General features: G+C 43.2%; 2 long non-coding RNA genes across 10 annotated transcripts in view, besides 2 other annotated features; one reads left to right on the top strand and one right to left on the bottom strand.

Annotated features, from left to right (window-relative positions):
• The window catches only part of LOC105374942 (uncharacterized), a 41,263-nt gene that overhangs the window by 9,961 nt on the left and 16,626 nt on the right, over positions 1 to 14,676 (top strand). For 3 of the 6 annotated variants that reach the window (XR_926510.3, XR_926511.3, XR_007059468.1), the window contains exons 1-2: positions 124 to 479; positions 3,348 to 3,460. This is a non-coding gene — a long non-coding RNA (uncharacterized LOC105374942). Of the gene's footprint in view, positions 1 to 123; positions 480 to 3,347; positions 4,942 to 14,676 lie in introns of those variants that run through there. The other 3 variants (XR_007059471.1, XR_007059470.1, XR_007059469.1) reach the window with 2 other exon arrangements.
• The window catches only part of LOC101928331 (uncharacterized), an 84,318-nt gene that overhangs the window by 64,122 nt on the left and 5,520 nt on the right, over positions 1 to 14,676 (bottom strand). The window lies entirely within an intron of this gene.
• Positions 1,429 to 2,019: an enhancer, noted in NCBI's record as "NANOG hESC enhancer chr6:14450188-14450778 (GRCh37/hg19 assembly coordinates)". NCBI's record gives its function as "activates a minimal SCP1, AML or CMV promoter by ChIP-STARR-seq in naive H9 embryonic stem cells {active_cell/tissue: H9 hESC(naive)}" and the evidence as "EXISTENCE:reporter gene assay evidence [ECO:0000049][PMID:30033119]".
• Positions 9,862 to 10,560: an enhancer, noted in NCBI's record as "NANOG-H3K27ac hESC enhancer chr6:14441647-14442345 (GRCh37/hg19 assembly coordinates)". NCBI's record gives its function as "activates a minimal SCP1, AML or CMV promoter by ChIP-STARR-seq in naive H9 embryonic stem cells {active_cell/tissue: H9 hESC(naive)}" and the evidence as "EXISTENCE:reporter gene assay evidence [ECO:0000049][PMID:30033119]".

Genomic DNA, 14,676 nt, shown 5'->3' with positions numbered 1-14,676 from the left:
CTTTGGCCACACCACTGGACTCCAGCCTGGGTGTCAGAGCAAGACTGTCTCTAAAACTAATTAATTAGTTAAAAAAAGAATTGTGCCCAAATGGCTTAGAGCTGGTTAAGTGACAGATGCATGTTGCTGTGGAGCAAAGTTAAGGTTGCTTGACTCTTAGGCACTTCTTTGGCCATGACCTCCTGCTTCTGGTTCTCCTGATAAAATGCTGGAGGCTCAGTCCAAGGTAACCAGCAAGAAGTGGGCTCAGGAGGACAGAGCTCTGGCTTCCCAATTGCATGTTCGTTCACAGGCTCCTACCTCTGCCATTGCAGGTTCCTTGACTTTGGCCTTCAGTCCTGACTTAATTTCTTTGCTTATGGGTAAAACAAGGAATTCCTGTCACACTGCCAACATCACCCCCTTTCTTCTCACCCCAAGGAGAGTGCAGAGAGGAGGCGAGACCAAGCCTGCCCAGAGTTGGAGTCTTGAGACGTGAGGTAACATTGGTTCCCCATCTATGCTGAAACCTGAGGGAACTTGGCAGGGCTCATCAGGAGGGGAGGGCCGGCCTTGAGATTTTCTTTATGTTTGGCCTGGATGTAGTCCAACCTTAAACTCAAATGAAAACTTGAGAAATGTTATATTACCAAAGAGCGCATGTGTGTGTGTTGAGATGAAGGTAATGGGGTGGGTGGTGGCGGCCAGCCACAAAGTGCAGCTTCAATCCGGCTAAACAACTAAACCCTCACTGCAGAATCCAGGCCCTCATGACCGCACCATAAGGAGGAGTCTTTACTACCCCGATTCTTGTATTTTGTGTTTGTGCCCATCCAGGGAGCTCTCGGAACTCCTGGGTTCCAGTCCCTCATGTGGTTACTCACCTGAGCTAAATCTCTTCACTTCTCTGATCCTCAGCTTTTCCCATGCTCTAAATTAGAGGTATAAATCAAGTGTCAGGGATCTTTTCATTCAAAGAACCAAGTTCTAGTGCAATCACTGACAAATGTAATTTCTAAATGTTAAAGTCATCCATGCTTCCAAGACGCAATTGAAAAATGGCAAATGTTGAGAGGCTCAATGCATTTCGTTTCTTTTTCAAAGGGCCTTTCCTATTTCAGGCAATGGCGTCTGCAGTGAGTATGTGTGTATGAAAGCATATGTTTGCAAAACAGTTGAAATATTTGCGTATAATAGCATTTTCACAGCAGTTAGTATCAACAGGGAGAAACCTAGGAGTGGCTTTTCGTGGGTGTCTGTGAAATGACAGATTGTGCAATTTTTAGGAAAGAAAAAAAAGCTTGAAGGGAAAAACCCTAGAGGCAGTAATATGTTGACCTTGAGAGGGAAAAAAATATGCTAGTTTGTGTATAGAAAATAAACTCTCCTCCAAAGTTTACGTTCAGAAAAACCTTGGTTGCTTGCTCATAAATAAATTGAGGACAGAATTGTTGATTACTGAGGTTAATGTTCTTTTACTAAAGTGGAAACATTGTATGTAATTAGATTAAGAAGAGACTTCGGTAGAAAGAGTGACGATGTGAGTAATCTCGAGTCAACAAAGGCACATTTTGATTTTATTAGCTAGCTATTAGAGCAGTCTTTGGCATTTTATGTGTGATGCACAGCATCAGGATGTAGCTGTTGAAAGTCATTTGTGTCCGCTGTCTGGCCTAATTGAGCGACAATAATAAAACGCTGTTTTTAGATAAACAATGGGTGGCGGAGCTCCATCGGTCCCTGCAGGGAGCGTGTTGATGCCTTTCAAAGAGCAACTGGCTGAGCTCACGTGCCACAGTCATTTCACAGAGGAAAGTCAAGTCGTTTAAATCAACTAAATTGAACGCAGTTTTGAAATGGAAATCAGTAATCCCAGTTTGGAGCTGCCTCCTTGTCAATGGAAAGCTAGAGGCTCGGATCGCCGTCTGGTTCTCTCCCAAGTCTTATTCAAAGGCAGGAGGCCCCTGAGCCACAGAGATTGCAAGTTAGCAATACCAGGGAAAAGAATATCACGTGTCGAATGTTTTGTGTAGTGCGTTGGTGCCAAACAGGCTGATATGGAAATATCATCATAAACCCCAGCTGCCTGCTCTATGTCCCTCCCTTCAGTGCACACAAGATGGGCCCTAGACAGACGGACAAACAGAAGGCTTCCAGGAGGTTGTATATGGGTAATGTGCTGCTGCCCTCGCCCAGTAGGAAGGAATTTCTCTTAGAGGCCTCCCTCCTCCTCAAAATGTGCTCCTCCCTTTCTCCTCCCCCCATGCCCTTTAGAATAAAGCATGTCCAGAAGTGAACCTCAACTTTGCATCAAGATTAGGATCTCTGGTTACAGACTGAGAACAGAAGAAAGCAGGCTGACATCCTCCGACTCACTTTATCTTAACATAGGATCACACAACCACCAGGCTTTTGTGGCAGCCAAGGGGTGGCTGGGGGTGCTTTAACATCTCCCACTTTTCAGCTATCAGCCTTGTGCAAACAGCCACATGACCTAGGGAAAGACAGTGTGCTGGCTTGACAAACACGGCTTTGAGATAGGTTCACTGCACTCTGCAAACTAAACTGCATCTTCCTCACCCTGCTATAAACTGTTGTTGTTGACCAGCACAATCGCTCACTCCTGTAATCTCAACACTTGGATGAGGCCAAGGCTGGAGGATCACTTGGGCTCAGGAGTTTGAGACCAGCTTGGAGAACATAGTGAAACCTTGTTTCTACTAAAAATAAAAAAAATTATCCTGTAGTCCCAGGTACTCAGGAGGCTGAGGTGGGAGGATCACTTGAGCCCAGGAGATTGAGGCTGCAGTAAGTGGTGACCATGCCACTGCACTTTAGCCTGGATGACAGAGTGAGACGGTCTCAAAAATACACACACACAGACACACACACACACACACACACACACATATATATACATATATATATATATATATATATATATATATATATATATATATATAGTCACCTGAGCTTTAGGAAGCTGGATGCAGTCCATTGACATTCTCATTCAATAGCTCTTACTTGAATACTTGCTAGTCATAAGGTCCTGTGCTGCCTGCTGGGGAGATATCCTTGCAAAAGACGAACACATGGCACTTGAAGTCTGATAGGTAGGTAGGTAGGTAGGTAGGTAGGTAGGTAGGTAGGTAGATAGATAGATAGATAGATAGATAGATAGATAGATAGATAGACAGACAGACAGACAGACAGACAAATACAATACAATAGACTATTGGTCTGTTGATACACGTTTAGGAGGTCACGGGTAGCTTTCCCCCTCCCAGCACACCCAGCCCTAGATCATCCAGTTGTCTTTTAGAGCTTACAAGGGAGGAAAAAAATTATTTTTTCTGCTACTTTTCTAGATTCTCCAGCTGGAGCCCTATAAATTGGACTGACAAAAGACAGATTAGCAAGAGAAATGCAAGCAGCAGTTTATTAACATGTGCATCATGATTACACATGGAAGTACCCAGAGGTGAGTAACACAAAGGAGTGGTTAGAACTTGGGCTTATATACCACCTTAACATAAAACACAGGAAAAGGGGTTTGAGGCTTCTGAGTGGGGGAGGCAAGTTATGGGATGGTGACCAGGAAAAGTATGGTAGACAAGAGTTGTTTAGTAAGGTGTGTTATGTGGATTTAAATCAGTACCTTCTTCATTGATAAGAGTTGTTAAGAGTACTCCTTTTCCTGGTATGGGAGAGGGAGATATCTCCACAAATCTAAATTTCGTTTATTAGGGGAAACCATGTGCCCTGGTTTTAGAGCTTTTCCTGAGACTGCTGGTTCTTAATGGCCTCGAGCTCAAAATAATCCATATGCCAAAGGGGCATATTTTGGGGTGGCGTATTCTGGTACCTCTCAGGCTACTCCTGACACTATTTTCACTTGACTTCCTAGTCACCTCATCTGCTCTTCACCCTGGATGCTAGAGAAAATTCTCTGGCTCTGTCATAACTGAAAGCACAAAGTTCTTTCTGTGCATTCCTCTGATCTAAAGCATTGTGACAGATTAAAACTAGGCTTTGTACAATCTTTCGCTGATGACTCCTCTGAGTCCTGCCCCTCTGGGACACAGCCTAAGACAAGCAGCCAAAACATGTCTTCACCTTCTCTCTTAAGAGCTTCTTCCTGACTTTCTCCCATCTTGGACATATTTTAGTAATTTCTCAAAAAGTATTTGCAATGGTTAATTTTATGTATCAACTAAACTAGGCTATTGTGCTCATTTGCTTTGTCAACCACCAGTCTGGATGTTGCTGTGAAGGTGTTTTTTTTAGATATGATTAATCTTTTAAATCAGTAGACTTTAAGCAAATTAATTTTTTCTGCATAATTTAAATGAGCTCAGAGGACAGAGCATCAAGCCAGATGATTATTCTCAAAGCTTAAAATCTAATGGAATTTATCCTGCTAGGTTTTGAACCTGCTTGGAACTTTTGAGTCCCCTTTTCCTTCTGATTTCTCCCTTTTGGAATGGGCATGTCTGTCCTATACCTGTCCTAACATTTCTATCTTGCAAGTAAACTTGTCTGGTTTCATAGGCTCACAGCTAGAGAAGAATGTTGCTCCAGAATGAATCACACTGACTGTCACGCACACCTCATTTAGATGATATTTAAATGAGATTTTGAACTTAGAGTTGATACTAGAATACGTCAAGACTTTCAGGAGTGTTAGGTTTGGGTGAATGCATTTTGTATGTGAAAAGGATGATCCAGAGGGTGGTCTGTGATGGGTTGAATTATGTTCTCATGACCCAAATTTATGTTTTGAAATCCTAACCCCAGTGCCTCAAAATGTGACTCTATTTGGAAATACAGTTGTTGCAGATATAATAGTTAGTTAAGATGAGGTAATACTGGAGTAGAGTGAGCCCCTGATAGAATATGATTGGGTATCCTTATCAAAAGAAAAAATTTGGGCTGGGCATGGTGGCTCATGCTCATAATCCCAGCACTTTGGGAGGCCAAAGCAGGTAGATCACCTGAGGTCAGGAGCTCGAGAGGAGCCTAGCCAACATGGCGAAACCCCATCTCTACTAAAAATATAAAAATCAGCTGGGCGTGGTGGCGTGTGCCTGTAGTTCCAGCTACTCAGGAGGCTGAGGCAGGAGAACCACTTGAACCTGGGAGGCAGAAGTTGTGGTGAGCTGACATAGTGCCACTGCACTCCAGCATGGGCGACAATGAGTGAGACTCTGTCTCAAAAAAAAAATAAATAAAAAGAAAAAATTTAGACACAGACACACACACAGAGGAAAAACACCATGTGAAAGTTCGATTCATGCTTCCACAAGCCAAGGAACTATCAGAAACTAGGAGAGAGGCCTGGAACATTAGATCCTTCCCTGGTGCCTTCAGAGGGAGCATGGTCCTGCCAACATCTTGATCTTGGATTTCCAGCCTCCAGAACTATGAGACCATAAATTTCTGTTTTTTGAAGCCTCTCAGTTGGTGGTACTTTGTTATGACAGCTCCTATAAACTCATAGAGTGTCCCTTCCTTGTCACCTCTGCATTGCACTCCCCACTGGATCAACTCCTGGAAGCCCACCTTGTTGAAACCCTTATGTCACACAGGGGTGACAAGAAGGTCCTGCCTCTCAGCCCCATGTCATTGGCCTTTCTGGATTTTGCACCCTGCCGTTAGCACAAATATTAGCATGTTCGTCACACAGACACGTTAGGATTGCTCTAGCTCCAAGTCATAAAGCCCTCTTAAAAAAATTAAGCCAAAAAGTGTTAAGTGGCTTAAGCACATCAGCACCTGAAGTATAAGGATTTTATCCTATACGTTTCCTGCTGAAACATACATTGGTATAAAAAAAAAGTGAAAGGGGAGAAAGCAGCCTCAAAACTCAAGGGGAGAAAGCCTCAAAACTTATCTTTGTGTTCACTAAAAATGTTGGCACTATTGGGGCTAGGTTACTCTGTAAGGCTCAAGTGCATGTTCAGTTACCTAACTCTGAAACGAAGGATCCAGATTATTTCTTTCTTCAAATGGTTGCCTCTGATGAATTAGGAACACAGGATAAAATAAGAAACACCAGTTTAGGAGTTTAGGACCTGGGTTCAAATTCTGACTGGATCTCTTACCAGCTGCATGATCTTAGATAAATGACTTGTCAAGCTCTTTGAGCATCATTGTTCTTATCTACGAATGAGAGGTAAAAATCCCTATCTCAGGGAGGTGTATAGACTTTCCCTTTCTTAGGCCTCTGATTCCTGGAAGTGGGGGAGTATTTTAGCATGAAATATCCAAGTTATGCAGTGAGAAATCCATCATTATTAACATGAGGAAGGGTTGTCTTATAGATGCTCCATCCTGAAGATGGGAAAAGACTACAGGGAGCTACCCATGGTTTCCCTTTGGGACCAGCAATACCTGTCATCTCCCAGGGGAGGGGTCATGTTTTGTGTGATCTAGAGCGTAATTAACTCGGGAGGTCATTTTGAAGGAGTAGAACTCATAAATTCAAATACAAAAGGAGGTGCAGGGCTTGGAAGAGGCTTCAGTTAGTGACAGGCCCTGAAGCATGAGCTTCTTCAGCTGCAGAATAAACCTAACCACGTCCCTCTGGGATACAAGGAGACTAGACTCCGGACCTTGGGCAGAAGAGTGAGGAGGAAAAAGAGAGAAAGATTAAAATAATACTAATAAGAGGATTCTAGAACTCCCATCTGAAACTGATTCGGTGTGACTGGAGTGTGGATAAATGTCTGTATTCAGGATGTCTATAAATGACTGCTACTAGATTACATTTCTTCAAAAAAATTTTTTCTGCTGAGTAGACCTGAATGCCTGCTCAGATCTGAAAATATTCGATCTTATTTTTTCCTAATATGATGTTAAGGGTGGATTTCTTTTTAGGAAACTCCCATGTGTAGTTGGGATCTGGCTTTGGTTCACGTGTGGATCACCCCCAGTGGTCATACTGAACCTGGGCAGGCCTACCAAAAGCCTGTGATGGGGTTCAGGACACGCTACCTTAAAATATAGCAACTTGGCATTTGGGAAAAGCACAGAAGCAGGAAGTTCACTTTTACATGTATTCTCCCTTCTACCTTGAAGCAGGTCATAAGACCTCATGTGACAAGTGCCCTCCTTACTCCCAGAGAAAAGGAAGGAAGACACAGAAACACCACGAAGAATATGGACAAACAGACCTTGCTAAGTTCCCCCCCATTTATTACCATGACATCATACTCCCTTTGTCCAATCACACTTTCATCAAACCTGAGCATGAAAATACACAGGTTTCTCTGTTTGGGGGGTGGGTCTTCATTTTTGAAGTTTCCATGTCATGTAAAACTTATATTAAAGAAATGTGTATGTTTTACCCTTGTTAATTTGTCTTGTGTTAGAGGGATCTAAGCCACAAGCCTAGGATAGATGAGGAAAAGATACTTAACACCTGTTTGTCTGAAGGCTGAGGGATGGTTCTTATCAGACAGGAAGGAGCCAAGCATCGAGAAGTTGACCCTGTAACAAAGCCCTGGAGGTGGGAAAGAAGGAGGAGTTCAGAAGTGCATTCAGCACGTATTTATTGACATGTGCCTAAGTCCACAAGCACATATCAGAAGCCCTTGAGGCCAGATGTGTTTTAGAACTCAGAAATTTTCAGATTTGAGAAAGGCAATGTGCATAAACCAAATATTATATAACATCCCTAGAGGGGTTGGAGGCAACACTTTGCAAATCAAACACGGTATTTCCACAGTCCTGTCTCAGCCAAATGTATGAATATTCACACTAAGTGGGATAAATGCCACCTTACTTCACTTCATGTTTTGCCACCAAGGTGTTTATAAAAATTTTTGTGTTTTCAGAGGTTTGGGGATTTTAGAATTGTGGATAGGGCCTGGGCCAGGTGCTGCACAGTGTTCTGATGCTGGGGAAATAGCACTAACAGGACCAGAGCAGAGGCCTGAGGGAGCTGGTAGGCTCTGAACAAGGGATGGTTCCCCCGTGGGGCCCTGGTGGATGCAGGTGTAATTCCCATGGGGAGAAGGGGAGCTTTTTAAAGGGAAAGAAAACAAAACAATAGAAATGGCGTTCCATTAAAGCCCTAGAAAACATTAGTGCATAAGCTTGAATGCTTTAAAAAAATATCTCCAACAGAAAATCACACAGAGGAACAGAGGCCCCCTCCCTCCTTCCTGTCAACAATAGGCAGCTCAGTGGCTCTGGTGACTGGAGGGCCATGGGCCTCAGCTGGAAGATGTGAGTGCCCAGCAGACTGGATGGGCACAGCTGATGCCCACCTGACAGAAGCAGACCCCGATGGAGAGAGACCCACTCTGAGCGGTGGTTTGCAACTGTGTGTTGGGATATGGGGGAGACAAAGGTACCCCTGGGACAGGTGGCCAGAATATTTCCTGGTCTATAACCTGTAGGAACTGTCCACAGAATATACACATATGTGTATGCATGTGTGTTCATATATATATATTAACTATTGGGAGGAAGACTTTTCGTCTATTCAATTAGTTTGGAATGCTTGGGGGCCTGCAGATTAACTGGCAATAGACAGATTAGCAGAAGAAAAGAGAAGATTTATTTACGCATGCATTTGACGTCACTAATGAGTAACTCACTGAATACCCAGTGGTGAAGGTTTCTATACAGGTTGAATATCCCTTATTTGAAATGCTTGGGACTTAGAAGTGTTTCAGATTTTGGATTTTTTCAGATTTTGGAATGTTTGCATACGCGTAATGAGATCTTGGGAATCTCAGGCCCTATGTCTAAACACAAAATTCATTTATGTTTTCCATGCAACTTATACCCATAGACTGATGATAACTTCATACAGTTTTAAAGAGAATTTTGCACATAAACAAAGTTTGTGTCCTTTCGTATATGTGTCTGGAATTTTCCACTTGTGGCATCCTCTCAGTGCTCAAAAACTTTCTGAGTTTTAGAGCAGTTTGGATTTTGGATTAAGGATGCTCGAATTGTACCAATATAACAAAAAAGGGAGCAGCAGGAATTTAGGGATTCGATGGGAAAATGTGTAAGGTGCAGTGCGTTTTTCTTTGTGCCAATGGGAAGGGACAATTTGTCCACTTCCTGGAATTCGCAGGAAAGCCCCTCAGAGCAGGGTTAATAGCAGCCTGTATTTTTGAAAGACTCTGTGTTAGTCAGATAAGGAAAGTTCAGATAAGATTTTAAATATTCTCACCTCTAAACAACCTTTATGCCAAAGCTGTCATCCCTTTAATACATATATGCATGCATATACACATGTAAATATATATTATATAGGTATATATACATACACATATGATTTATGTATACCTATATAATATATATTTATATAGGTATACACACACGGGATATTCTATACTTACACCACTTATGGCAATTATTTTTAAAATCTCCCTGCTTTTTCTCTTGTTCATCTCTGCCCCCTCCCAAGATCCTGGCTTGCCCTCCTGATGCCCGCAGGGTCAGGACCAGATCTAGGAGAAATGAGGAAGTCGCAAAGTGGCATGTGTAGACTGCGTGGTTTGCTGAGAGCCTTCAGTATGATGACAGGGTAGCGCTAGGCTCTTAGGTCCGCCGTGAATCTAAGTGCAAGTCAGTTATGCTTGGCTCAAGCTCTTTACCCTCTAAGTAGATTTCCCAGGGAGTTTCAGAAACACCAGCACAGGACGGAGGAATTTTCCGAGAGTGCGTGCTCCTGCATTAGCGGGTGTACGCAAGAGCCAGAGAAATCTGGGCTCTCATATTCACTGGGCTCCCACTGGCTAGAAAACTCAGGGTCTAAACTCCAGCGAACATTCTCAAAAGAATCAAAGAACCTCTCTACCTCTTCCTACATTGTGTGGCCACTGTTGACTCTCTCCCACAGCACTCCCAGAAATTGTTCTGGATCTTTCCTAGAAGACAGCTTAGGGACATTTATCTTTCCCCTGTCCTCCTTGGTGACAGCATGTGTGGACCACTCCCCACTGGTTGGCATCTCATCTCGGCCCCTTTGCCTCATTTCTACGCTGCAGAGAGTTTCCCACAAAATTTTCCCACAAATTTTTTTTTTTAGCATTTAGCGGGGATTTCACCAGCAAAGCAAAAGACTCTGCCTGCAGGCTGATTGGTTGCAAAAGAAAAGGTGAAGACATTTCTGAAGAATGGTCCCATTTGAGAAGCGAAAAGCAGCCCTGGTCAAACTTGTGGCCTAGTCCCCTGTGAGTGTTTTTGTCGCTCAGTAGACTGCTTCTGCCACTGTTTATCCAGCACAGGGAAGGTGCTTTGAATAGATGTCTTTGCTGACACGGATCCCTTTGCTTTGTGAATAGGGCGATTACTGAACAATGAAGCTGTTACATTAGGAGCAGGAGCTGGCTGGAGCCAACAAATCTCCTCTACGTTTACAGAGCTATAATTATCCAAAGTTTCAAAACACAATGGTATCTGCTGAGAGGGAACATCTGGGAGGGAACCAAGCCATCCCAATTAAAGGAGCGATGCACAGCCCATGGACTGGATGAGTCCGCATTAATGGGGTGGTGATTTTTTTAGATGTCACTCAAGTTAACAAATGTGCTGAAAGGTTTAAGCAGAACAAATGTGCAGGGGGATAAAAAAATCACATCAAGAAGAGAGATCTGTTTTATAAGAACATCTACAAATTGGTTGCAGAAAGCATTCCAGGCTGCTGTTATGAACACTAATCAAGAGAAAAATGTTTCATGAGGTTTTTCCCATATGAAAATAAAAGCTTTTTCCAGTTGCCATTTCATTTCAAAATAAATTCTTTTAACCTCCAGAGGACCCCGCGTGACAGAGTGGGGTGGGAGGACAGCATTGTGGGGAGGTCTGAGTGGTTCGGGGTTATGGGGCTTGTGCCGGCACTTAGGCTCACCATAAAGATTAGGGGAAATTGGTTGTTTTGAGAGATTGGAGACTTGATCCTATAAATAGATTTGGCCCAGATAGTAGCGCTGGACTCCGCTTTGCCAATGAAGTTTACAGCATGCTCTCCGCCGTAACAATCTGTCCTAAAATGGGTATGGGCCACATGCTTAGGGCTCCTGAGCACTTCAAGACCTACAATCTAAATCAAGGGTCTATTGCACCTATTACATAAGTTGAGGGCAATTCTTCCAGGTTAAAAAAAAAAAAAAAAAAAACTAAAAGAATAGTTATGAGGGCAGTAACAAAACCAGACAAAAGAATCTCTTATTCATCATCTTATACCTCTGGGAATGTTTGCTCTAATGGAGTGAGAGTTCCATCGGGGGCGGGGAGTGGGGCCAGCATAGAGGATTATTTCTTCAATTATGCTTCCTTCCCATCTGTTTGGGGGCACTGCAGCAGCATCACACAAGGACTCAGCTCAGTTCTGAAGGCAGAATCTGGAAAATGATTTGGGTCATCACAGGCTATACAGCAGAGCCCACAGTAGGCTAAATCAGGAAAGTGGGGTGTTGGACAGGTTTTTCCCAAGCTGTCCTTTTCTGGGCTTTTGCTGATGCTCCTGCTGCAATGGGGTCCCTCCCCACTTTCAGTGCCCTGTTGGTCCCCCTTCTGATTGTTTCCCACAGAAGTACACTAAAACATGCTGACAGAGCACTTGCTAGCTTTCACTTACTCCAAAGGGAGAAAAAGTTTAAGTCTCTTTATCAACTTTCCCATAGGTATTTGCATGATTATTGCCGCAAAAGCAGTATTATAGCAACATAAAAAATGAATAATTAAAAACAGTTACCAATTAACCCACCACCCTACTACCATTTGAGTACCCCTAAGCCCATTTGTTCGCTGAGCCTTCACCTGCTTTTTCCTTTCTGCTTTGTGAAATATTTGCCTATTTCTAAGTTTTACTATGGAAGGTAATACCACCATCAACACGTGCATTCTTTTTAACCTTCTGTGAAAGATCTCTCCAGAAATCTTGGACCGATGCACAGTACTGGGAACTGAATTGTGCCAAAATTCATATGTTGAAGTGTTAACCCCCTGTATTTGGAGATACAGATGTTAGAGAGGTAATTAAGGTTAAATTAGGTCATAAGGGTGCAGCCTAAATCCATATGACAGGTGTTCTTATAAAAAGAGAAAGAGAAAGCCGAGATCTCTCTCTTCCTCCATGTACACAGAAGAAAGATCACTGGAAGACACAGAGAGAAGGCGGCCATCTGCAAACCAAGGAAAGAGGCCTCAGGACAAATCAAATCTGCAATGCCTTGATCTTGGACTTACAGCCCCCAGAACTGTGAGAAAATCAATGTCTGTTGTTTAAGCCTCCCCGTCTGTGGCATTTTGTTATGGTAGCCCAAGTAGACGAATACACACAGTGTTGGGGTTGAAAGGTTAGGAAGAGAAAAGCAGCCTTTGACATTAGGAGCAGGCCTGGCCCTCACAGCTAGCCCATGTGTTCTCCTGCTGAACACAAACAATTTCACAGAACTCTAACATCAGATAAGGCCACTCTGAGGCCACGAAGGGTCAGGACAAGAAAAAGGCCACCGCACAATCGTGTCTGAATCCAGACAAATACACAAACCACAAAAATGACCCAGGCATCTTCCTATCCTGGATAAATGAATGACTGCCACAGCTTTCTTACCCATTTTAAGCTTTAGCCTTGCTCTAGTTTTTTTTCGCCTTCTAGATTAGATTTATTCATAGAACTACTCACACTTCCTGATAGCATCCAATCCAGAACAAAGCCCCACTTCCTTAAATCTTCCCCCTAAATACCTAATATGAGCCAAAATCCTACCACAAGTCCTTTCTAAGCTCCTACTGAGCAACTCTATGGTTCCTTGTAAGCACTAAACCCAGCTTGGTGTGTGTATGTTTCTGGTGGTCACTGGCTGAGCAACGTTATCAGTGATGTGAATGTTTTTGTGGTTTTTAATAAGCATTTAACATTGCTGATCAAAGAAGCTAATCAATTTTGATTGCTTTCAAATATTTTACACAACCTAACCAGCAACTTAAGTGTTAGGGTCTTTTTCAATTAAGTTGATCGTGTAAACTGAATCTTGTTTCAATGTGTATGTTTTATTGGTTTGTAAGCTAATCATTTTCCCAGGTATTTGATATTTCTCCTCTACTGGTATTTCTTTTTATCTGTCACGAGTTTGATATTCAATGATGAAAAAATAATTTTTGTCTCCTACTGAAAATAATTCAGAAGTTCCCTGGAAGGTGAGCGAGGTATTTGAGGGGTTGTAGTATTGTTAGTGTTTTTCACTCCTGCTTCTGAAGTGAAACTCATGGCCTGGGATTTAGGGTCCTCATGATAGAAACAGCATCGCAGGTGCACACACACACAACAAAAAAGGGGGAACACTCGGCAATTACAGTCCTCATTTCTGTAACTGGTCGTGTTGACATAGCTGGTGGTTATAACCTCTTTCTTTTACTATCCATTCTGTATTTCCCTTGCCTTCAACAAGCGCCTCAGCTGGTCACAAACCTTCATTTCCAAAGAGTCTGAGCCACTGTCCTTCCTGGAGTGGGTTGTTACAGTTTTCCATTGGCCTTAATCATAGGGCTTGGTAATATTAAGAGGCGTCCTAAGGGATCTCCTGTAGTCCAGAAATACTCTTCCTTACCTCTGTTGTGGAGTAGTAGTCCAATTTCCCCTTGGTAGTCAGATTCAGTCACCCTAACCAGCACAGTAACTCCTTTCTTTGCCTGTTGATTCAGAGGAATACGGAGTCCAAAATGGCTGCATGGCAGTCTTGACTTCCAGTTCAGTGGAAGCATTGCTATGTCTCCCTGTGGAAGCATTCTTTCCTCTGGAACTAAGACCCGTGGGCCAGCAGAGCATGAAGTCATGGGAACAAAAAGCAAAATTTACTAGTGGGTAACCAGGAGTAACAGTGAGTGGTAGAACTCCTATTTCAACCCCTTGATTCCTGGACCTGTGAGTTTCTGGCTATAGGAGAAACAGCATCATTAATTGAATGCTGATTCAGAGCATATACAGTCTTATAGAGAACCTTGTCCTAACCCTGCAAGGTAGTGCCACTTAGCTGGCACTAGACTGAGTCTTCAAAAGGCCATTTCACTGTTTTATCAAGCCAGCTGCTTTGGGATGATGGGGAACATGGTAAGACCAGTGAATTCCGTGAGCAGGAGCCCACTGCCACACTTCATTTGCTGTGGAGTTCTTTGGTCAAAAGCAATGCTGTGTGGAATACCATGAGGGTGGATAAGGCATTCTGTGAGTTCATGAATGGTGGTTTTGGCAGAAGCACTGCAGGCAAGGAAGGCAAATTCATATCCAGAGTAAGCATCTCTTTCGCTAAGGACAAGATGCTGCCCCTTCCCTAATAGAAGTGGTCCAATGTAATCAACCTGCAAACAGGTAACTGGTTGATCATCTGGGGAATGCTGCCATATCAGGGGCTCAACACTGGTCTCTGAGGCTGGCAGATTGGGCACTTGGCAGTGGCCATAGCCAGGTCAGCACTGGTGAGTGGGAAGTCCATGTTGCTGGGCCAAGGCATAATCTTCATCCCTGTCACAATGGCCACTTGGTTCATGAACCTACTGGGCGATGACAGGGATGGCGGGGGAAAGAGGCTAACTGGTATCCACAGAACGGTTCATTCTGTCCACTTGACTATTAAAATCCTCCTCTACTGAGGTCACCTTTTGGTGAACATTCACATGGGACACAATTATCTTGACTTTTTTTTCCCCATTCAGGGAGGTCTAACTACA

The sequence above is a fragment of the Homo sapiens genome, chromosome 6 (genome assembly GCF_000001405.40).
Source record: "Homo sapiens chromosome 6, GRCh38.p14 Primary Assembly".
Lineage (NCBI taxonomy): Eukaryota > Metazoa > Chordata > Mammalia > Primates > Hominidae > Homo > Homo sapiens.
This window is presented reverse-complemented; position numbering and strand designations above follow the sequence as displayed.